Raw genomic sequence first — 25,590 nt, forward strand, 5'->3', positions numbered from 1 at the left:
AAATATGCAAATAATACCTGCCTTACAGGTTTGCGTGGGGTAATGAAGCACCTTGCAAGAAGACTCCTTCATTAAATGCTTCTTTTTTAACTTTTAGTTTAAGTGCAGGTTTGTTACGTAGGTAAACTTGTGTCATGGGGATTTGTTATACAGATTATTTCCTCACCTAGATATTAAGCAAGCATAGTACCCATTAGTTATTTTTCCTGATTCTTTCCCTCCTCCTACCCTCCACCCTTCAAAAGGTCCCAGTGTGTATTGTTCCCCTCTATGTGTCCATGTATTCTCATCATTTAGCTCCCACTTGTAAGTGAGGACATGCAGTATTTAGTTTTCTCTTCCTGTGTTAGTTTGCTAAGAATAACGGCCTCCAGCTCCATCCCTGTTGCTGCAAAGGACATGATGTTTTTCCTTTTTATGGCTGCATAGTGTTCCATGGTGTACTTGTACCACATTTTCTTTATCCAGTCCATCACTGATGCGCACTTGGGTTGATTCCATGTTTTTGCTATTGTGAATAGTGCTGCAATGAATAGACATGTGCATGTGTCTTTATAATAGAATGATTTCTATTCCTTTGGGTATATACACAATAATGAGATTGCTGGGTCGAATGGTATTTATTCTGTCTTTAGGTCTTTGAGGAATCACCACACTGTCTTCCACAATGGCTAAACTAATTTACGCTCACACCAACAGTGTATAAGTGTTCCTTTTTCTCATAACCTAGCAAGCATCTGTGATGTTTTGACTTTTTACTAATAGCCATTCTGACTGGTGTGAGATGGTGTTTCATTGTGGTTTTGATTTGCATTTCTCTAATGATCAGTGATATTGAGCTTTCTTAAATGATTGCTGGCCACATGTATGTCTTCTTTTGAAAGTTGTCCATTTCTTAAAAAAAAAAAAAAAAATCCTACTTTTCCTGTCACCGATCCCTCACATTACAGTTTCCATGGCTTTGCTTATTTAATCCTTCTCTACTGGCTGCTGACCATCACCAGCTGCCAAGAGTCTCTTGCCTTTTTTGAACACACACTTGAAGAATTTTTTTTTTTTTTTTGAGATGGAGTTTCACTCTTATCACTCAGGCTGGAGTGCAATGGCATGATCTCAGTTCACTGCAACCTCCACCTCCCAGGTTCAAGCAATTCCCCTGCTTCAGCATCCTGAGTAGCTGGGATCACAGGCTTATCCAGGCGTGTGCCACCACACCTGGCTAGTTTTGTATTTCTAGTAGAGATGGGGTTTTGCCATGTTGGGGAGGCTGGTCTCAAATTCCTGACCTCAGTTGATCCACCCACCTCAGCCTCCCAAAGTGCTGGGATTACAGGTGTGAGCCACCGTGCCCGGCTAAAAAGACTCTTTATTCTTCAAGGCCACTTTCTTCTTGAGCATTCCTAAGTCACTGTAGCCCACATGGACTTTTATTAATTCCAATTCTCATTGAACCACAGAACAAATATATTATTTTTTTCAAATTATTTCACGTTTTCATTTTGTTTTCTTGGCCATTTAAAGCATAATATGTTCTCAATAAGTTATATTCACAATCATTACAGTTATTATTGAAGATCATTCCTTATGCCTCTTTTGCATTCTTTTATCCCTCATAGTACTTAACAGAGTGCAACAAGTAATAATGGGCTAATATCTTAATTTTATTCACTTGTTTTCACTTCTCTTTGTTTAATAGTGAAAATTTAAATGCTGTACCAAACTTTTCAACCTTAATTTGTTTTCATAATAATAATCAATGGCAATTTATTGATCATTTATTAATATTTATTTTCACAATAATAATCAATGGCAATTTATTGACCATTTATTATTTATTTTCATAATAATAATCAAAGGCAATTTATTGATATCATTAATATGCTTGCACACATTTAAAACTCTCAATCTATAAATTTATAAAGTAACGTTATTATTTGCATTTAATAAGTGAGAAAACTGAGCAGCAGAGGTGTAAGACAATTGCTCAGGATCACACAGCTAGTTAATGTTAGAGCTGGGACCAAGAACTGTCTCCAAAGCTATTGGCCTTGATCACTCTCCTGTACTGCTTTAATACAATAATTTACAGGTATAACACAAGTTTTATTTTATAACAGTGTTCAACAGAACAACATAAATTTTAAAACAGATATAGAATTGCTTCTTCATGAATCTTGCTAAGATACAAACTTTTTAAACACAGAAAAAGGCACTGTATTATTATAAGATAGAGTAGAAAGGTTATGTGATATAATGTATTTGATAGATTCATAAAAGTGAGTTTATAACTATTAAATTCATTATTAAATTCATTTGTCTGCCACTGTGAGGAGTTTGATGAATGGTAATTACTTTCATAAAAGTACAAAAGTTCCCTCTTCCACTGTTCTTGGCACCATTCTTTTTGAAAGCACTCTTCCCTTACTGCATCTCTTCCCGTTATTCACTCATCACCATTGTCCCTTGCCTTGGGGTTGCACTTTTAATCTTGGTATGAATGTGCTCATTTCTACATTTCTGCACAAAGGAAAAATTATTTCCTAAGAAGAGAAGAGACTTTTCATTCTTCATTCCAATTCTGAAACCAACACTAATTGAGCCAGTGTCCCAGCTCAACTTCTGAAGGGGAAAGCACAGTCAAACACAAACTGTCTCTGAGGTCCATCTTGTGCAGAAGAACTATAAGGGAGAAAAAACATTTTTTTTCCTCCACCTTCATGAGTCCTTAGTTGTAACAGACCCCTGTAACAAAAGACAGATTATCAAGAGAAAAACAAACAGAAATTTACTAACACATTTATTTAATACATACATGGAGAGGCCCAGGGAATGAATACTTCTCAAAAAAGTAGCCTTGAATTTCAGCTTATACAACATCTTCAGTAAAAAAACTACAAATTTTTAAAGAGATCACAAGACAAAGGAAAATAACTTTGAGTCTTCAGGGGCAGCAACTTGTGCAAAGGCAAATAAACTATACCTGGTAGTAGGCAGGAGTAGAGGGATACCTTTTGCCTTTGTAAATTTATGCCCTGTTAGGCAAATAGACGGAGAGCAGAGAGCTTTCCTGCATCTGCTTCTTTATTACCTTCAGCTCAAAACAATCCTTATGCCAAAAGGGTCTATTTTGGAGTGGCGTCTAATGGTGTCCCGTGCTATCAAGGGTTTTGACTCACTTAAGAAATACTTTCTGCACTCATTCCAAGCACTCTGCTAGGGGCCAACGATGCAAAAAAAAATGAGTAAACATACTTCTTCCTCTCAAGAAATTCCTCTGCTGAGTAGTCTTTTATGTGCAGGCCAGAGAAGCGGATGGAATATGTTTAGAATTCCTTTTTTACTTTTTCTATGTTGTATTTTGATTCTGTTTGTTTTGCATGTTTTCAGTCTTTTGACTCTTGAAAGCAAAGATGCTGATTGTGAATTCACTCTGTAGTATTTGTACAGTGGCCAGATGCAGAAACAAAATAATTAAAGTTTTTCAAAGTCCTTGATGAATTTCATCTTAAAAATACACATAAATACATGCATGCATACATACATACAATACACACACCAAGCACAAAATATTTTATTTTATAATTTTTTATTTTTTTATTTTTTGAAATGAAATCTTGCTTTGTCACCCAGGCTGGAGTGCAGTGGCATAATCTCAGCTCACTCCATCTCCCAGGTTCAAATGATTCTCCTGCCTCAGCCTCCCGAGTAGCTGGGATTACAGGCACGTGCCACCACGCCCAGCTAATTTTTGTATTTTTAGTACAGACGGGGTTTCACCATGTTGGTCAGGCTGATCTCGAACTTCTGACCTCAGGTGATCCACCTGCCTCAGCCTCCCAAACTGCTGGGATTATAGGCATGAGCCACTGCACTCGGCCACAAAGTATTTTATTTTAAATTGAGGAAAAAAATAATAAAGCAAATGATGATTCCTGAAAAACACAAGGGAAACATATGGAGAAATACAAAATATACAAATGCAAGTTATATCTGAATCATTTACATCTACTCTAACCTATATTATCTTTTCTCTCACATTCCAAATTATCTTTTCTATTTAGTTTTTGAAATTGAAAATTTTTTTCAAACTAAAAGCTTCTAATTCACTTGCATTTAAGTCATCAAAATATTGTTTCATGAAAGCTTTCTGATCTCTAGAATTTTTTGTAATGGATGTTTTAAAAACTTCCTCACCTCATTTCCTGTCCCTAGAGAAAGCATGACAACCTTCAAAAGGTTCAAGTTTCATCTGAAGTTGAAAAATCAAGGTTTAGAAATTGTCTCACCTTGGAGAAAGGTTATTAATCATTCTTCAGTGGAATCCACAGAATATTTGAACATTCACCTGAGGATAGTTTTGAAGACTTATCACATTGGGAAGGACACCTCCTTTTCTGTCATCCAAGGTGGTTTGTGATCTCCACAATGGGGCTCAGTCTTATTGTCTCTGCTTTGCACTGGTGGCATGTGGTTCTCCCCACTATGCTGATAGCCCCATGGTGATTCCAAGTAAAAAGAGAAAGGTGGAGGAAGGGAGCCTGTGTCCTGTGAAGTCTCTGTAAGATGACTGCAAGGCCCTGCAGGTCTGCTTTTTGTCTTTCCCAGGCTAGCACACACAGTACTATGAAGAAGGTGCACAAAATAATTTAACAAAGGACCACTGCATCTCTGAAAAGCAAAATCACACAGAGCTAGGGTAAAGGAGGGTAAAACTTTACCTAACTTCCTCCTTTATAGCATGCAGGACTTAAGAGGAGGTATCTCATGTGGCTGTTCTCTCTCTTCCTAAGCCCTCTCTTTCCCCTATTTCCCTTTAATTTCCTCTTTTCAAGTCATTTGACCAATTCTCTGTACTTATTCTGAGGAAACCCCAACATTACCACAGGAAGAAAAAGTTCTGCATTTATTCTTTACTTCATCTCCTCTCTGAATCTTGAAAACATCATTCCCTTAGGTAAACTGATGCTAATGCAGGTTCTCCTCTCTTCAGTGATAACCTATTTGTTTAGCTGAAAATGAAATTGGTTCTTCAACTACAGGGAGAACTCCATCTGGTTTCTTTGCTAGTAAGGTCACCCATCATTATGAGTTGAATTATTTGGAGAGTTTGGAGAGTTATTTGGGCCATACTTGGAGATAGGATATTCACAGAGGTAATCAAGTTAAGATAAGTTCATTAGGGTAGGCCCTAATCTAGTACAACTTGTATCTTTATAAAAAGAGAAATTTAGGAATTGCTGGCAAGATGGCTGAATAGGAACAGCTCTGGTCTGCAGCTCCCAGCGAGATTGATGCAGAAGGCGGGTGATTTCTGCATTTCCAACTGAGACACCCGGTCCGTCTCATTGAGACTGGTTGGACAGTGGGTGCAGCCCATGGAGGGCGACTGGGGATGCGCAAGTTGTCGGGGAACTTCCTGTTCCTAGCCAGGGGAAGCTGTGAGAGACTGTACTGGGAGGAACAGTGCACTCTGGCCCAGATACTGCACTTTTCCCATGGTCTTCACAACCAGCAAACCAGGAGATTCTCTCTGGTGCCTGGCTCGGTGTGTCCCACCCCCATGGAGCCCAGCAAGCTAAGATCCCTGGCTTGAAATTCTCGCTGCTAGCACAGCAGTCTAAGGTCGACGTGGGATGCTTGAGCTTGGTGGGGGGAGGGGCGTCCACCATTGCTGAGGCTTCAGTAGGCGGTTTTACCCTCACGGATAAACAAAGCCACCAGGAAGTTTGAACGGGACAGAATCCACTGCACTCAGCAAGGCCACTGTGGCCAGACTGCCTCTCTAGTCAGGGCATCTCTGAAAAAAAGGCAGCAGCCACAGTCAGGGACTTATAGTTAAAACCCCCATCTCCCTGAGACAGAGCACCTGGGGAAGGGGCGGCTGTGGGCCCAGCTTCAGCAGACTTAAGTGTCCCTGTCTGACAGCTCTTAAGAGTGCAGCAGATCTCCCAGCACAGTGTTTGAGCTCTGATAAGGGACAGGCTGCCTCCTCAAGTCGGTCCCTCACCCCCATGTATCCTGACTGGGAGATACCTCCCAGTAGGGGCCGACACACACCTCATACAGGAAAGCTCCCACTGGCATCTGGTGGGTACCCCTCTGGGACGAAGTTTCCAGAGGAAGGAACAGACAGCAATTTTTGCTGTTCTGCAGCCTCCACTGGTGATACCCAGGCAAACAGGGTCTGGAGTGGACCTCCAGCAAACTCCAGCAGACCTGCAGCTGAGGGTCCTGACTGTTAGAAGGAAAACTAACAAACAGAAAGGAATAGCAGCAACATCAATAAAAAGAATGTCCACTCAGAGAGCCCATCCGAAGGTAACCAATATCAAAGACCAAAGGTAGATAAATCCACGAAGATGGGGAGAAACCAGCACAAAAAGGCTGAAAACTCCGAAAACCAGAACGCTTCTTCTCTTCCAAAGGATCACAACTCCTCACTAGCAAGGGAGCAAAACTGGATGGAGAATGAGTTTGACAAATTGACAGAAGTAGGCTTCAGAAGGTGGGTAATAACAAACTCCTCCAAGCTAAAGGAGCATGTTCTAACCCAATGCAAGGAAGCTAAGAACCTTGAAAAAAGATTAGACAAACTGCTAACTAGAATAACCAGTTTAGAGAAGAACATAAATGACCTGATAGAGCTGAAAAACACAGCACAAGAACTTCATGAAGCATACACAAGTATCAATAGCTGAATCAATCAAGTGGAAGAAAGGATATCAGAGATTGAAGATCAACTCAATGAAATAAAGTGAGAAGACAAGATTAGAGAAAAAAGAGTGAAAGGAAATGACCAAAGCCTCCAAGAAATATGGAACTATGTGAAAAGACCAAATCTATGTTTGATTGGTGTACCAGAAGATAACAGGGAGAATGGAACCAAGTTGGAAAACACTCTTTAGGATATTATCCAGGAGAACTTCCCCAACCTAGCAAGGCAGGCCAACATTCAAATTTAAGAAACACAGACAACACCACAAAGATATCCCTCGAAAAGAGCAACCCAAAGACACATAATTGTCAGATTCATCAAGGTTGAAATGAAGGAAAAACTGTTAAGGGCAGCCAGAGAGAAAGGTCAGGTTACCCACAAAGGGAAGCCCATCAGACTAACAGCAGATCTCTCTGCAGAAACCCTACAAGACAGAAGATAGTGGGGGCCAATACTCAACATTCTTAAAGAAAAGAATTTTCAACCCAGAATTTCATTTCCAGCCAAACTAAGCTTCGTAAGTGAAAGAGAAATGAAATATTTTACAGACAAGTAAATGCTGAGAGATTTTATTACCACCAGGCCTGCCTTACAAGAGCTCCTGAAGGAAGCACTAAACATCGAAAGGAAAAATCTGTACCAACCACTGCAAAAACATACCAAATTGTGAAGACCATTGACACTATGAAGAAACTGCATCAACTAATGTACAAAATAACCAGCTAGCATCATAATGACACAAAGGATCAAATTCACACATAAGAATATTAACCTTAAAAGTAAATGGGCTAAATGCCCCAATTAAAAGATACAGACTGGCAAATTGGATAGAGTCAAGACCCATCAGTGCGCTGTATTCAGGAGACCCATCTCACATGCAAAGACACACATAGGCTCAAAATAAAGGGATGGAGGAAGATTTACCAAGCAAATGGAAAGCAAAAAAAAGCAGGGATTGCAATCCTAGTCTCTGATAAAACAGAGTTTAAACCAACAAATATCAGAACAGAAAAGAATGGCATTACATGATGGTAAAGGGATCAATGCAACAAGAAGAGCTAACTATCCTAAAAATATATGCACCCAATACAGGAGCACCCAGATTCATAAAGCAAATTCTTAGAGACCTACAAAGAGACTTAGACTCCCACACAATAATAATGGGAGACTTTAACACCCCACTGTCAGTATTAGACAGATCAACGAGACAGAAAATTAACAAGGATATTCAGGACTTGAGCTCAGCTCTGGACCAAGCAGACCTAGTAGACATCTACAGAACTATCCACCCCAAATCGATAGAATATACATGCTTTTCAATACCACATAGCACTTATTCTAAAATTGACCACATCATTGGAAGTAAAACACTCCTCAACAAATGCAAAAGAACAGAAATCGTAACAAACACTCTCTCAGACCACAGTGCAATCAAATTAGAACTCAGGATTAAGAAACTCACTCAAAACCGCATGACTACCTGGAATCTGAACAACCTGCTCCTGAATGACTGCTGGGTAAATAACAAAATTAAGGCAGAAATAAAGAAGTTCTTTGAAACCGATGAGAACAAAGACACAACGTACCAGAATCTCTGGGACACATTTAAAGCAGTATGTAGAGGGAAATTTATAGCACTAAATCCCCACAGGACAAAGCAGGAAAGATCTAAAATTGACACCCTAACATCACAATTAAAAGAACTAGAGAAGGCAGAGCAAACAAATTGAAAAGCTAGCAGAAGACAAGAAATAACTAAGATCAGAGCAGAACTGAAGGAGATAGAGACATGAAAGACCCTTCAAAAAAAATCAATGAACACAGGAGCTGGTTTTTTAAAAGATCAACAAAATAGATAGGCTGCTAGCCAGACTAATAGAGAAGAAAACTAAAGAATCAAGTAGATGCAATAAAAAATGATAATGGGGATATCACCACTGATCCCACAGAAATACAAACTACCATCAGAGAATACTATAAACACCTCTGTGCAAATAAACTAGACAATCTAGAAGAAATGGATAAATTCTTGGACACATATACCCTCCCAAGACTAAATCAGGAAGAAGTTGAATCCCTGAATAGATCAATAACAAGCTTTGAATTGAGGCAGTAATTAAAAGCCTACCAACCAAAAAAAAAAAAAAAAGCCTAGGACCAGACGGATTCACAGCTGAATTCTACCAGAGGTACAAAGAGGAGCTGGTGCCATTCATTCTGAAACTAATTCAATCAATAGAAAAAGAGGTACTCCTCGCTAACTCATTTCATGAGGCCAGCATCATCCTGATACCAAAACCTGGCAGAGACACAACAAAAAAAGAAAATTTCAGGCCAATATCCCTGATGAACATCAATGCGAAAATCCTCATTAAAATACTGGCAAACCGAATCCAGCAGCACATCAGAAAGCTTATCCACCACTATCAAGTCGACTTCATCCCTGAGCTGCAAGCCTGGTTCAACATATGCAAATCAATAAATGTAATCCATCACATAAACAGAACCAATGCCAAAAACCACATGATTATCTCAATAGATGCAGTAAAGGCCTTTGATAAAATTCAACACCCCTTCTTACTAAAAACTCTCAAAAAACTAGGTACTGATGGAACGTATCTCAAAATAATAGGAGCTATTTATGACAAACCCACAGCCAATATTACACGGAATGGGCAAAAGCTGGAAGCATTCCCATCGAAAACCAGCACAAGACAAGGAGGCCCTCTCTCACCACTCCTATTCAATGTAGTATTGGAAGTTCTGGCCAGGGCAATCAGGCAAGAGAAAGAAATAAAGGGTATTCAAATAGGAAGACAGGAAGTCAAATTGTCTCTGTTTGCAGATGCCATGATTGTGTATTTAGAAAGCCCCATTGTCTCAGCCCAAAATCCCCTTAAGCTGATAAGCAACTTCAGCAAAGTTTCAGGATACAAAATCAATACGCAAAAATCACAAGCATTCCTGAACACCAATAATAGACAAACAGAGAGCCAAATCATGAGTGAACTCCCATTCACAATTGCTACAAAAGGAATAAAATACCTAGGAATACAAGTTACAAGGGATGTGAGGGACCTCTTCAAGGAGAACTACAAACCACTGCTCAAGGAAATAAGAGAGGACACAAACAAATGGAAGAACATTTCATGCTCATGGATAGAAGAATCAATATCATGAAAATGACAATACTGCCCAAAATAATTTATAGATTCAATGCTATCCCCATCAGGCCACCATTGACTTTCTTCACAGAATTAGAAAAAACTACTGTATATTTAATATGGAGCCAAAAAAGAGCCTGTATAGCCAAGACAATCCTAAGCCAAAAGAACAAAGCTGGAGGCATCACGCTACCAGACTTCAAACTACACTACAAGGCTACAGTAACCAAAAGAGCATGGTACTGGTACCAAAACAAATATATCGACCAATGGAACAGAACAGAGGCCTCAGAAATAACACAACACATCTACAACCATCTGAGCTTTGAAAAACCTGACAAAAACAAGACATGGGGAAAAGATTCCCTGTTTAATAAATGGTGTTGGGAAAAGTGGCTAGCCATATGCAGAAAACTGAAACTGGATCCCTTCCCTACACCTTGTACAAAAATCAACTCAAGATGGATTAAAGACTTAAGTGTAAAACCCAAAACCATAAAAATCCTAGAAGAAAACCTAGGCAATACCATTCAGGACATAGGCATGGGCAAAGGCTTCATGACTAAAAAAATCCAAAAGCAATGGCAACAAAAGCCAAAATTGACAAATGGGACCTAATTAAACTAAAGAGCTTCTGCACAGCAAAAGAAACTATCATCAGAGTGAACAGGCAACCTACAGAATGGGAGAACATTTTGCAATCTATCCATCTGACAAAGGGCTAATATCCAGAATCTACAAAGAACTTAAACAAATTTACAAGAACAAAACAAACAACCCCATCAAAAAATGAGCAAAGGATATGAACAGACACTTCTCAAAAGAAGACATTTCTGCAGCCAACAAACATATGAAAAAAAGCTCACCACTGGTCATTAGAGAAATGCAAATCAAAACCACAAAGAGATACCATCTCACTCCAGTTAGAATGGCGATCATTAAAAAGTCAGGAAACAACAGATGCTGGAGAGGTTGTGGAGAAATAGGAATGCTTTTAGACTGTTTGTAGGACTGTAAATTACTTCAACCATTGTGGAAGACAGTGTGGCGATTCCTCAAGGATCTAGAACTTGAAATACCATTTGACCCAGCAATCCCATTACTGGGTATATACCCAAAGGGTTATAAATCATTCTACTATAAATACATGTGCATGCATATGTTTATTGCAGCACTGTTCACAATAGCAAAGACTTGTAACCAACCCAAATGCCCATTAATGATAGACTGTATAAAGAAAATGTGGCACATATACACCATGGAATACTATGCAGCCATAAAGAAGGATGAGTTCATGTTCTTAGCAGGGACATGGATGATGCTGGAAACCATCATTCTCAGCAAACTAACACAAGAGCAGAAAACCAAACACCGCATGTTCTCACTCATAAGTGGGAGTTGAAAAATGAGAACACATGGACACAGGGAGGGAAACATCACACACTGGGCCTGTCAGGGGGTGGGGGGCTAGGGGAGGAATAACATTAGGAGAAATATCTAATGTAGATGATGGGTTGATGGGTGCAACAAAACACCATGACACATGTATACCTATGTAACAAACCTGCACATTCTGCACATGTATCTCAGAACTTAAAATATAACACACACACAAAAAAATTGCCAATTTCATGCTGTAATAGCAAGCTCAGTTCAATGGCCCAATAAAATATGACAGCTGTCAATACTCACCAGCATTTCAAATTTCCTTCCACTCTGTACTTGGCTGACAAAATTAAGCACTCCTTATACCAACACTCTTAGAAGAAACCATTTATCAGAGCAACATTCAAAATGGCAATACACTTTAGCCATTCTTTTCCCTTCCACCCAATACTTGGGCCCCTGGGATTGGGACTTAAGAGAGATGTGGCTACCTACTCTTGAGAGTCACTTGACATAAAAACAGTGAAGATAGGCTGGGCACAGTGGGTCATGCCTGTAACCCCAGCACTTTGGGAGGCCGGGGCAGATGGATCATTTGAGGTCAGGAGTTTGAGACCAGCCTGGTGAACATAGTGAAACCCTGTCTCTACTAAAAATACAAAAATTAGCTGGGCATGGTGGTACGCACCTGTGATCGCAGCTACTCGGGAGGCTGAGGCAAGAGAATTGCTTGAGCCTGGGAGGTGGAGGTTGCAGTGAGCCAAGATTGTAGCACTGCACTCCAGCCTGGGTGACAGAGTGAGACTGTCTCAAAAAAAAGAAAAAAAAAACAGTGAAGATGATCAAATGAATCTTCTCAAGCTAATATTGAATTCGTTGCTTGTTGCTGGAACTTCATAGTTATTTTTCCAGAGAAGTCACCTAAAGGCATGTCATTGCAGGCATCTAAGATGATCACAAAACTCCCATCTCAATAATCACCCCCAACCCCTAGCCTGGGTTGGCCAAGGAACTTAGTGCACAGTGTTCTCAACACCAGGGAAGGGAGTGTTAGTCCCTCAGAACATATGCAGACATGGAGGGTGGCTCCTCTGACTCTGGAATCTCTCTGTTCCTCTGATTAGTTCACAGGTATCTGTGCATTGAGTTTTTAACCACTCTCACATACTTTTACTCTTCTAAGAATTGTTTTAGAGATCTTCCAAATGTTCTATACAAATAGGCCCAGCCCCAAACCGTCTCCTGGCTCCTCCATCCTCACCTATCTTCTCTGCTTTCTTCTCTCTTTCACTTTCTTCCCCAGCAGCAAAGTAAACTTCTCTCTATGCTTTAGACAGAGCAGTTTACCCAACTCCTTTAATTGTCCTGGCACATGCAACATCTGGTTTTTTTAGGTCTCACTTCTAACCCCAAGCAGCTTATCAAGATATTTTTTGATAAAGAGTTCCCTCCCTAAAATTAAAAGCTATTAAGGTGACAAATTGTTTGCCTGCATTCACTACTGGGTCAGATTCTTGAGCAGAGAATTCTTCTGCCATCCAGCAGAATAGGGAAGTCTTACCCTGGCTTAAATACTGGCAGTCTGCAAATGAGGAAGCAGGGGATGGAGGTGGGGGTCAGAGAGATGTGTGTGTGATTTGCCACAAATATGGAGTTAAAGGAAATAGAGTAGAGCTCAAAGCACCAATACCAAATCAATGAACTTTTGTTGGCTTGAACCAGGATGATGATGGTATTAGTGGAGCAGTAGACAGACTTATGAATAGAATTGATAAAATTTTGGATTGCATCAGATGTGAAGAATGAAAAAGAAGGAAGACTCTAGAATAATTTTGTCTCTAGATTGAACAAGCAGATAGGTGAAAGTAACATTTACTAAGATAGTGGGAAATTGGGATAATTTTAAGGCAAAAATTCAATATGTAAGTTTTGGGCACATCATGTTCGAGATGTCCAACATGTGTTCATCCCCACAATATATAATACATAATGATATACATCCAAGTTATACCAAGATATCAAGTAAGCAGTTGAAACCAAAAACAGGCTGGGCATGGTGGCTCACGCCTGTAATCCCTGCACTTTGGGAGGCTGAGGCGGGTAGCTCACCTGAGGTCAGGAGTTTGAGACTAGCCTGGGCAACATGGTGAAACCCCGTCTCTACTAAAAATACAAAAATTAGCTGGGCATGATGGCAGGCACCTGTAATCTCAGCTACTGGGGAAGCTGAGGAAGGAGAATCGCTTGAATCCAGGAGGCGGAGGTTGCAGTCAGCTGAGATGGCGCCACTACACTCCAGCCTGGGTAACAAGAGTGAAACTAAGTCAAAAAAGAAAGAAAGAAAAGAAAAGAAAAAGGAAAAGAAAGGAAAGGAAAGGAAAGGAAAGGAAAGGAAAGGAAAGGAAAGGAAAGGAAAGGAAAGGAAAGGAAAGGAAAGGAAGGCAGGGCAGGGCAGGGCAGGGCAAGGCAGGGCAAGGCAAGGCAAGGCAAGGCAGAAAGAAAAGAAAAGAAAAAAGAAAAGAAAAGTAAAAAGAAAAGAAAAGAGACTAAAAACAGCCAGTAGCTAAAAGGGGACATCTGACCTGAAGACATAGATTTGGGTTTCTCAGAATATAAATAGGATTCGTAGCAAAGGGAACAGGAAAAATCACCTAAGGAGTAAGTGAGATAGAGAAGAGCACCAAAGGTTGAGGTCTGGGGTACTCCTCAATTAGAGGCTTAGAAAAGGATTCAGCAAAGGAGACCAAAAACCAGGTACTAAAAAGATAGGAGTAAAGTCAAGAATAGTCAACTATTACATGTCACACACCACCATAAACTTAGTGGCCTTAAACAATAGCTATTTTATTATAAGCATGGAGTCTGTAGGTCAGGAATTCAGAAAGAGCCCAGCTAAACTGGCTTATCTGCACACTATCTGGGCCTCTGCTGGAAAGACTTCAAGACTAGGGTAACGAGATGTCTAAGCGCTGGCTAGTTGGAATCATCTGAAGTTCATCCTCTAACATGTCCCATGCCTGGGCTGAGAGGACTCAAAGACAAGACTTGATGACAAAACATCTGTATGTGTCCCCTCCATGGGGCTCAGCTTCCTCACAGCCTACAGCCCTCAGTTAGTTTGTTTTCTTAATGGAATATTAGGACTCTACACCAAATGTCTCAACTAACAAGACAGAAGCTGTATTGCCTTTTGTGACCTAGCATGAAAAGTCAGGCAGCATCACTTCTAATATATTCTGTTATAGGCAAGTTCTAAGTGTACTCAGATTCAAGAAGAAAAGATCTAGATTCTACCACTCACAGGGAAGTGGCAAAATTGTAGGAGAGCATGTGGTAGGGGTCATACCATTGTAGCCATTTTTGAAAAATGTAATCTTCCCCCATCAACTATGTTAAATGCTATTGAGAGGTCAATTGAGATGTAGACTTTTAAATGTCCAAATGATTTTACAACATGAGGTGGATGATGACATTATGAGTCTTCACTAACTTCCTAAATAAAATCAATTTTATCTTCCTTGTCCCTTATTTAATCACCTATCGTAATGCAATGCAAGTATCTTTAGATAGCTATATTTCTCCTAAACTAGAAGCTACTAGTGGGTAGGAAATAGGTAATTTAGTAGTATTAATATTTTTACTTTTAGGACCCAACACAGTGCCTGACACATAGGAGAAGCTCAAGAGACATTTGCCAAATAGATGATTCTGTACATTTCTTACCTGACTGCCAGTCCCATCATTCCAACTACTTATAAGACAACTCTGGCAGGACTTTCAGCCATCGCCTTAGACTCAAACAACTTAAAACTCATGTTATTCATTCCATGCTGAACTGGTTAATATTAGGTTTGTCTGCATATAGCAGGGGAAAAAATCAACAAACAACAAAACAATGTCAATTCTCCATTATATAAATAACTCCAAAGGTGGTGTGGTGATTTTACAGTGACTTCAGGGAACCAGGCTCCTATTTTTCTCTTCTACTATCCTTAGCACTTAGCTTCTACCCTAAAAGTCACCTTATGGCCCAAGATGGATGGACACATGCTGGATTAGCAGCAGGAGGAGAAAGGAGTGAAATTCCTTTAAATGACCTTTCCTGATGCACCACAGAGCTTTTCCATTTACAATGTTTTGGCCCAGATTTAACCAATGGCCACTCCTAGCTACAAAGAAGGATGAGATATATTTTTATTCCAGATAAATAAAAAAGTGCCCACCTAAAACTTGGGGTTCTGTTACTAGGTACAAAAAATAAAACAGAAATAGTCCTGTGTCTTTTGATTTCTTATCCAGCATTTTTATTTCTATTTAAAATGTCAAAAATTTCATTATTTGACTGCACTTAATCTTTATTTGCATTTAAAAAACACAACTCTGGTAGCTGGAAGAAGAATGAATTGGAAGTGGAACACACTGGGGGCACAGAGACCAATAAGTTACAAGGGAACTACAGAAATCCAAGAGAGAGAAGATAAAGCCCTAAACCAAGCTAGTAATAGTAGAGATAAAAAGGAGAGGATATGGAGGAGCATACAAGGAACAAAAATTTATATGAGACTTCTGAAAGCCTAAGTTTTAAAATCACACTGAAGAAAGAACATATGATGTCCAATAGGGTAGCCCTACCAACATAAAACACTGTGGACCTTGCAGGAAGCCAATTAATAAAATGGAGTATTCAGTGATAACTAGGAAAAGAAACTTTTGAAAACATCTTGGAATTTACTAAAAAGCCCTGAAAAATAATTGGATGTACTCCTCATTTACTTGCACCAAATTTGCTCTGTTAACAAAGCTAATTGCTCAGGATGGATTATAGCAGCCTGAATTAGGTGTGTGTGACATGGTATTTGTGTATTAGTGTACGATGATGTACATGTGTAAAACGTTGGTTGAACAATATGTATCCAATGACACTGTGACCACACCTCCCTCTAAGATTTTGCATAAATAAAAATTACATTAGTTTTTGTTATTGTATCTGATGCAACAAAATACATGGAAGTTAGGGGAGTAGAAAGATCAGAATGAAGGAGCAATATAAGGTCTTCTGCCTTTCTTCATGGCCAACTTCTCAACTTTAAAAAGAATCCACTCGGTGTAGGAGATTGAAAAATGCTTGGCAATATGAGCTTTTTATTTTATGGTAACAGAAGGTCCTTTAAATTAAGAGAATCCATTTCATGTTTAAATATAATAAAGCAAGATATTACCAATATCTTGCTCCAATTCAATTGACAGCATCAGGGCTCATTGCAGTATCTAACTAAAGGTTCACCCTTGCCACTGTTTCCAAATGAATTCATTCATTCACTTACTCATCCTGCAAATATTTATTTGGGGTCTACTATGTGCCTAGCACTATGTGAAGAACTAAAAATACAGTAGTGCTTTAACTAGACATTTCCTCTTGGCACACATTTGATTTACATTTCCAGCCTCCCCTGCAGTTAGTGGGGCTATCAGATCAGTTTCTGATGTATGAAATGTCATACATAAACTTCTTTCACAATATTCAATGCCCTTCCTTTTTCTCTGTCCATGAGCTGACTGGAGAAGTTTCAAAGGATCTGGGGACAAGGAGTGAAGAAAGGAGCAAAAGGAAGGTAGGAGCCTCTGTCAAAATGACAGGAACAATGCCAGTGCTCCCCACTTCCCACCACTATCAAACCTCAATAGACTATGAACTTCATGAGAAATAAACTTTCATTGTGTTTAAATGCCATTGACATTGACATTTTAGAGCTGTTTGTTAACGTATTCTGCCTATGCAGACGCTGAGACAGCAGGTACTTGGCACATTCACAGAGCAGACAGGTCAGCATGACCATAGTTCAGTTATCAAATGAAGAAATGGTAGGAGATGATGTCAGAGAAGCACGAAAGCAAGAAGGCAACACAACTACATGCTTTGCTGTCTGTATGTCAACACAGATGCCCAGTGCCCAATCACCAACAGACTTTGAAAGAAGTGACATATTTGGTCACTGGCCATGATGTGCATTTGTTATTTATGTAATGATTTCTAAACTGAAGGGCTAACAGCCAAGTTTGTATTTTATGCAATTATTCAATTAATGTACTACAGCAACTGAAAATTGAATTGTGTTTTGGAGGAACTGGTGTTATTGAACTAAACTGTGGTAGCTGTAATTTGTGCATATTAAAAATATGCAAAATGATGACTGCCTTACTGCTCTGAGGAACTGCAAAGGTTGTGGGTAGTAGGTAGAGAAAACATTTAAGGTCAAGAGTAGATATTTTAAAGTGGGAAAAATTACAGCCTGTTCGTATGAGGATAGAAATGGTGCCGAAGAGATATTGACAGACGAGGAGATATTTATGGGAGTCACATCCTGTGCAGGCCAAAGTAGCCAAAGTGGATGGAATCTAGTGCACAAGTGGAGGATTGGTTTTAGACAGAAGCACCAATAGTTCATTCATTTTAACTGCAATATAGAATACATGGATGTGGGGGCTGGTAGGTTGTTGGTGGAAAAACAAGTTCTCTCTTGATTGCTGCTACTGCATAATAAATAATACAATTTTTTAATTCTCATTTAAAGTTTTACAAGTTTTAAATGTTTATAAAAAATTTAAAGACCTGGCTTTAAATAAGAATAAAGGGGATAGGAAATAGTAAAGGCTCGAGGGAAGAAAAATCAGTGTGAAATTTTTGTCTTGCAGATAGAGAGTGAATTCATGTGGGAATGTAATAGGATTTCTGAATCCTCTAAAAGCCACTCTCGAAATTACTGATTTAAGACAGACCTGTCAGCTTAGTTGTATACTTTTCTCCAGCCATTTCTATTCTGTCTGAATTCTACACAATTTAAGAAATGAGGCTAATCTCCTACCTCCATTTTTTATGAAACCCTCCCCAGCCAGTAGGACTATCACTGGAGATTCTGTGCTCAGAGAAGACAAAGGGAATCTCGGGCTAGACCTATGCTCTGGCTCCCAGGACAAGGTTTCTTTTGAGGACACCTCTCTGTTTTTCCCATGTAGTGGATATTCTATGAAATGGAAAGCACAGCCCAAGAAAAATAAAGTTATAACAATAAATAGAAAAATACATAATCGATTTTCCCTGTTCTAGTTAGTTAATATCAGATCAAATTGAAAATAAATGTTGCTTAGAGAATTCTGAAGCAAGCTGTCATAAAAATCAAATAATAGTTTCTTTCTTCTTTCACCTAAATTTCTACGCTTTCTGACTTCATTTTCCATACTGCAACTTTCATATAGATCCAAACATTCATAGCAATTGAGTAGAATTTGGATTGAAGGCAAAATGAAGTAAAATAAATCAGAAGTCAGACTAATCCACAGTGTAGGCCACATGGCACAAAGTCAATAAGCAGCCTTATCTCTGTTTCAGGTAACAATCACCACAGAAAAATTGCAATCCAGTGAAGTCTTTCTATTAATAACGAGACCTTAACTTATCTCTTTCTGAGAACAAGGCTGAGTTTAAATAAAAGAATAAAGCTAACCAAAGAAGTTGAGTTGATAAATGGTTCATCTTTAAAAAACAAAACAAAACAGAACAAAAAACACCCACTGTTTTGAATTACACTCATCTCTTTTATTCTACTTCAAAGTTTTTTGTTTGTTTGTTTGTTTGTTTATTTGTTTTTTCAGCTCCAAGTGAAGCCCTGGGGAAAAGAAAAAAAAATGGCTTCACTGCCACTTTTTCAACACTTCAGACTCTTCCCCTGCCTCATGAGCTTCTTACACACATACTGCTCCCTCTGACTAAAGCACTCTTCACTCTATTGGTTTTTTTAACCAACTCCTACGTAACTTACAATTTTCCTATTGAATAATTTCTCCAAGACCTTCCTTCCTCCCCAGTTAATTTAGGTTTCCCTATCTTTTCCCTGAAAATACCCTATACTTTTTTGGCCGGGTATGGTGACTCACACCTGTAATCCTAACACTTTGGGAGGCCAAGGCGGGTGCATCACCCGAAGTTAGGAATTTGAGACCAGGCTGGCCGACGTGGGGAAACCCCGTCTCTACTAAAAATACAAAAATTAGCCAGGCGTGATGGCAAGTTCCTGTAATCCCAGCTACTTGGAAGGCTGAGTCAGGGGAATCTCTTGAACCTGGGAGGCAGAGGTTGCAGTGAGCCTAGATCGTGCCACTTCACTCCAGCCTGGGTGACAGAGCAAGACTCCACCTCAAAAAAACAAAACAAACAAACAAAAAAACACCTTATACTTTTTTTTTCCATAGGACACAATGAAATATGTGTTTGTTTAACATCTGTGCCCCATACTGGATAACAAGCTACATGAAGGCAGGACTATGCCTGACTTATTCATCATGGCTTAGACAATAGCTAGCTCAGTGCCTGGAACAGGTATTTATTCCTGTCATAGAATAAATACAATATTCATGAATAAGTGAATATTTCTTCTTTCACAGAAGACCAGAATCTGAGACAAGGAATTGTCCCATGTGCTCGAAGTCTTTGAAGAGCAAAAATCAAGGAGAGTAAGAATGGAAGCCACTCAACTACTGCTTCAGAACAAAGTTAGCACGGGCTCCTGAGAAATGACTAGAAGATATGCCTGGGATTCAAAGGACCTCAGAGCCACCCATAGCTAATGTCCCTGTCATCCAACAGATGCTGTGGCTTTGGGAAAGAACAGCCTTTCTTGACCTCAAATCTTTGTGTCTGAAAAATGAGAGGGGTACCAGATGCTACCTAAGCAGTCTTCCTACCTAAAATGTATGAGTATAAGAAGAATGATCAATTTTAATCTCAAAATACAATTCTCACCTTTCAGTTACCAAGATACAGCCCCCTTCCCTTAACCTGAGCTACAACAAAACATAAGTTCAATAGAGAATTGATTAATGAGTATAAAAAGGCAGCCCTGTGTTCTTGTGCTCAGAATTGGTTGGCTCTGTTCAATTCAATGAGCAAGAAGACTGAATCCTGTACTGTGTTTCATTAGCAAGTACAATAGCCCAGTTTTGATAAAGTGACTCAAATCACCTGATCTCTTTTTATTCCCCATGTATTAGCCAAACATTATTATGAAGTATGCTGTTGCCAGGCTACTATTTAGAATGTATGTTATAAGACATGTCTGTAGGACTTTTGAAATCATCTTTCAGTTTTATTCCCAGTAGTCACTTTCTAAGAATTAATTTCTCTTTTATTATGTGGTAATATTAAAGAGACAGTGTGTACAGTGTGTGTACATATGACTCACAGCAAATTAAGAGTATTGTGCCTTACTCTATCCAGAGAATCTCCCTGCCAATGGTTGCTGCTCCCACCTTTTTCTCTGAGCCACATCCTTGGCATCTCACAGCTAGATTACTGCAATAGTTCCCCAACAGTCAGCCTGCCTCTCACATTCTGATATGTCCTGGACTTCTTTGATCAATCCTGTTAAACCCCTATGCCAGAGGGAACCCCTGCATTAGTTTTTCTCATGCATTGATTTTGCTTTCATTAGTATGCTTACCTAAGATATGGTCTTTACAAAATATTTGAAGATGATGATGGTGCAAGGAGATGATGAGAATTACCTTTGATTTTGGGTGGACTGCTGCTGCTTCCATCCTAAAATGTGCCTACATTGTTCTTTATCTTACCATAGGATCTCTAATCATTCTCCCTGTAACTAACTGGAAATATGTGATAACAATTAGAGTCCCTGTAATCTCAGCACTTTAGGAGGATGAGGCGGGCGGATTGCTTGAGCCCAGGAGTTTGAGACCAGCCTGGGCAACATGGCAAAACCCAGCCACTACCAACAAAAATACAAAAATTAGCCAGGCGTGGTGGTGCACACCTGTAGTCCCAGCTACTTGGGAGACTGAGGTGGGAGGATAGCTTGAGCCCAGGAGATGGAGGTTGCAGTGAGCCGAGATCATGACACTGCACTCCAGCCTGGGTAATAGAACCAGACTGTTAAAAAAAAAAAAAAGAAGAAGAAGAAGAAGGAGGAGGAGGAGGAGGAGGAGGAGGAAAGGAAGGAAGGAAGGAAGGAAGGAAGGAAGGAAGGAAGGAAGGAAGGAAGGAAGGAAAGAAGGAAGGAAGGAACGAAGGAAGGAACGAAGGAAGGAAGTTAGTTCAAGTCCCGATTTCCTTTCCCTGATTCTGTTGGAAGCAAAATTTATTTAAATTGTGTTCATGGTTACAGTTGCAGCATCAAAAATATATTCAAATTAGGGCTTATTGGATGATCCATTAACCCCGAATCTCATGTTTTCTACTAATCCTGCTTTACCTGCATTTCAAGGCTATTGAACATTTCAGGAGAAACTATTTACATGAGACTGTTTGAGAATAATGAAATATAAGTGAACAATATGTCACCACGCCCACTTCCTAAGAACCTCTCCCTGCTCCAACACACACACACCTCCCTGGTGAATTGCCATAGCATAGTTTAGCAGCTCTTACCCTTTAAGGGTCAGAGAAACCTGATTTACACAGGTACGTACAAAAAAAAAATTAAGAATCTTGGTAATTTCACTTGATGATTAAGAGCTCCTTGCTCCTTGCTCTATTTTAGATAGCTAAATTACACACCTGGCTGCATCTTAAAATATCTGAATATTGAATTTTCTGTCTTAAGTCCTTCTATCTCATGTCTTACAGTGATTCTCATATGAAAGCAAACCTGGATCAGAATAAAGGCAGAACATAAGCTTTTCTATTATATGGCAATATTAAATAGGGTTGATGTATAAAAGGCTTTGTTTCTCAGCAAATCAAAACAGTGATTTAATTTTTAAAACATGTCCTGTCTTTTCTATTTAAAAACTCACAATGCCCAATTTCCATGAGGCATGCTTATACAGTAATGTGTTTAAGTTTTTTCTAAGTGTTTTGAGTACCAAACTTAGTTGCAAGGAGAACATTGGCAAGGGCACTTAGGATTGGTAGTGAAGAGAGAAATACGCTCCCATTTCACTTTATCTAACTTATTCCAACAGTACTTTGAGAAAGGACATGTGAAAATAAAAAAAAAAATCCTTGAAGTAGTCCAAATGCAGATACTTCAGACTAAAACATTAATAGTGTGAAAGGTTGTCCCGTGGGCAGAATGTGGCACTACTCCAACTAATTTAAGGGATTTCAGGTTTTCTCTGGTGAGCTGGGAGATGTGATTTAGGGCAGACACCATGCTGCAGACAAATGGGAAAATGAGAGTCCCAAGGGCAGTGAAGACTCAGGGAGAGAGGTGGTCAGAGTAGGTTCCAGGGATGAGACTAATGATGGGTCTCAAGTACAGCAATAGCTGACACCGAGCTTAAAACTTCTACTTTCCTGCTGATATCCTTACAGAATTTTAAATTCTAGAAACCAATGTCAGTGTGCTTCTGAGAATGGAGATGGGTCCCAAGTTGTCCCCTAGAACATTGTGGCTATGAAGAGATGGCAAGAGGAGAACAAATTGCTATTCAAAGTAAGAAGTGGCAAGTGACAATCAAGCAAACCTCAGCACACCCCCAAGAGCTGGCGGAAACACTTGGTTTACTGCAGAAGCATGGGATACAAGTTAAACTATTTTACTGGACATTAATCAAAGGATAACCCTGAAAAGACAGGGGAAAACTTAGTAAGGCTAAGAACTACCTTGATATTGTCTGTGCCTTGGCACATAATGAGTATTGAAAACACAGGAAGGCTTAACAATTCAGAACAGAGGTTGTAGAGACAGATTTAAGTTTGAATTTCAACTCTGCCAAGTGACCTTGAGCAAGTTTCTTAACATCTGAAAACCTCTGTTTCTTCTTGTTTAAAATAGACATAATGAGAAGGATTGAGTGCAGTCATGCATGTAAATGTATCTGACGTGTAATAAATACACAGTAAGTATTTTGGTTTGGGTTTTTATTTTATCTGAATCTAAGTGAAAGAAAAATTCTAGATACATTATCAAAATGGTTATAAGCTGCTTCAGGAGAATGCCTGAATTCCTGATCAAAGAGCCAGGAAGCAAACAAACAAACAAAAAAAGATGGGCACGTAGGAGGTGGTCAGTAGCAAGTTTCCCTCAACGTGGGCTAAACTGGCTCTACTCATGTCTGACAACACAGTGGGAAACTTCTGACACTGCCGGGCTGTGATGATTGCTCCCTTCTCCCTCCTGCTTCTAGACAGGGTAGCATTTAAACCACCCAAGATTGTCTGTGTCTTATTCTTAGAGCTCACCAGGGGGAAAGATACTATCCACTTCTCCAGGCCCCTTCCCATGCACTGCAGCCCTCCTGTTCAAAAGATATTTTTTAAGTTAATGTCTGTATTTACATAAAGAAAATGGCTTATAGGCTTGTAAAGTAGGAGTGAGGTTTCAATGATTTCAGAAAAGTGATATTACAGCAGGAGACCTAAACATGCACAGATTCAGCCTTGCCAATCACTTCTTGTTTTATTCAGGATTCTTTCAAGGTAAGTGACAAGGAGCCAACTCAAATTACTCTGAGGGAAAAAATAGGAATATGTTGGCTTATGTAATGAAACGTTCAGGATTTGGTCTGCATTCAGACACAACAGGAGCAGATGTTCAAAACAATGTCCTAAAAGATCTCTCCTGTCCTTTCTTTCCCTTGTTCTCCTTTTCCTGGTGTTAATGTCAATCTTCAGAAAGTGTTTTTCTTACAGCTCCTGGCCTCAGAAGAAAAAGACCACTTCTCTCTTCCCAATGTTCTCATCAAACCAAATAACAGATATCCTTTACTCTTCTCCTCTCCACACAATTCCCAACGAAGAGAGATATATGCAAGAAACAATAGCCAAATGAGAAGCAAAATGCCAATGTCTTTCTTTCCCCCAATAAAAACAAAACTAAACTAAACAAAAACCTGTAAAACTGTGGTTAGAGGACACTTCTTAGTCCTGGAAGCCTTAATAAGGTTTTTGGCTTTCTCTCCCCTCCAACTTAGATGGTGGGTACTGAAGAATTAACCCTGGCTTATTGATCTGATCATTTCCAGAGACAGAAGAGGGAGAACAGAAAACTTGGATTTACTTTGAACAAGAAAGTACTGTACACAGTGATTCAGCCCATTACCAAATACAGTTTCTCCTCAACTTACGATGGAGTTACATCCCAGTAAACCCATTATAAGTTGAGAATATCGTAAGTGGATTGTAAGTTGAGAATATCGTAAGTGGAAAATACAATTAATTCACTTCACCTACCAAACATCATAGCTTAGCCTAGCCTAACTTAAACATCCTCAGAACACTTATATTCGTCTACAGTTGGGCAAAATCATCTAACACATCTATTTTATAATAAAGCTTTAAATATCTCGGGTAATTTACTGAATACTGTACTGAAAGTGAAAAATGGGATGGTTGTATGGGTACTCGAAGTATGGTTTCTACTGAGTTGGCAATGCTTTCATACCATCACAAAGTTGAAAAATCATTAAGTCAAACCATTGTAAATTGGGAACCATCTGTATGGCCCAAGGATCAATCACATTGGCACCTTGGGAGAGGAGGTAACCGAGCTGATCAGGCATAAGAAAAGAACATGGAAGAATGCCCCCCGCAACATTGATGCCCCTCTTCTAGGACTCAGCATGATTTTGACACAGAAATAAGATATCCTTGTTTGAACTGCTTGAGGCCACACAGTAAGAAAAGGAGCAGAGGGAATTCTCTACCTGCAGAATACAATTTTGAACCATTCATGCTAAAAGGGGTGCCTTCCACAAATCTCAGCACCAAGGGAAGCATGTTTTTCCTATGGCTAGATCCGGGCATGGTTCACTTTCCACTTCATTATAACTCAAACTTCAAAAGGAATAATTTGTCCTTAGAGTCAGCACTCTGTGTTCACTGCCTGCAGCCACAACCCACCATTGGATCTTATTTTGATATTGTTCATTAGCCTCAGGAACGGCATTTCCACTTCTAAAAGTAAACTGACAGCTCTGCATTTCATAATGTTAGGATCTAGAACGAAACTATTTCAAGTGTATCTATAAAATGCACATTTCTTAATATACTTTTGGCTTCTTACCACTTCTTTTTTTTTTTTCACTTTTAAACCATCATTTCTGTGACTAACAGTGCCCACTTGGTTCACTTCACAATCTGGCCTGTCCCATCTCAGTACTGCTCAGTGATTGTCCCTAGGGGAAGGTCCCCACCAAAAGTTGTTATTCCAAAGCTCATTATTTCTTTCTGAACCTGAACCTGGACCTGGCCCTCACTCTCTGCAGGCAGCCTAGTTCCCTGCTTTTCAGAGTAGCTAGATGCATTTATCCAGTATGAGCTCTCTGGATTTCTCTTTCCCTGTCTCACAATTTAACATTCTTGCACTGTTT

General features: G+C 39.4%; 1 long non-coding RNA gene across 1 annotated transcript in view; it reads left to right on the top strand.

Annotated features, from left to right (window-relative positions):
* LOC105377401 (uncharacterized) overlaps window positions 1-20,947 on the top strand; it is a 31,447-nt gene extending 10,500 nt beyond the window's left edge. Inside the window, exons 2-3 of the long non-coding RNA XR_939166.2 lie at window positions 16,818-16,877; window positions 19,705-20,947. This is a non-coding gene — a long non-coding RNA (uncharacterized LOC105377401). The remainder of the gene's footprint in view (window positions 1-16,817; window positions 16,878-19,704) is intronic.
* The last annotated feature ends 4,643 nt before the right edge of the window (window positions 20,948-25,590 follow it).

Source organism: Homo sapiens, chromosome 4 (genome assembly GCF_000001405.40).
Source record: "Homo sapiens chromosome 4, GRCh38.p14 Primary Assembly".
Lineage (NCBI taxonomy): Eukaryota > Metazoa > Chordata > Mammalia > Primates > Hominidae > Homo > Homo sapiens.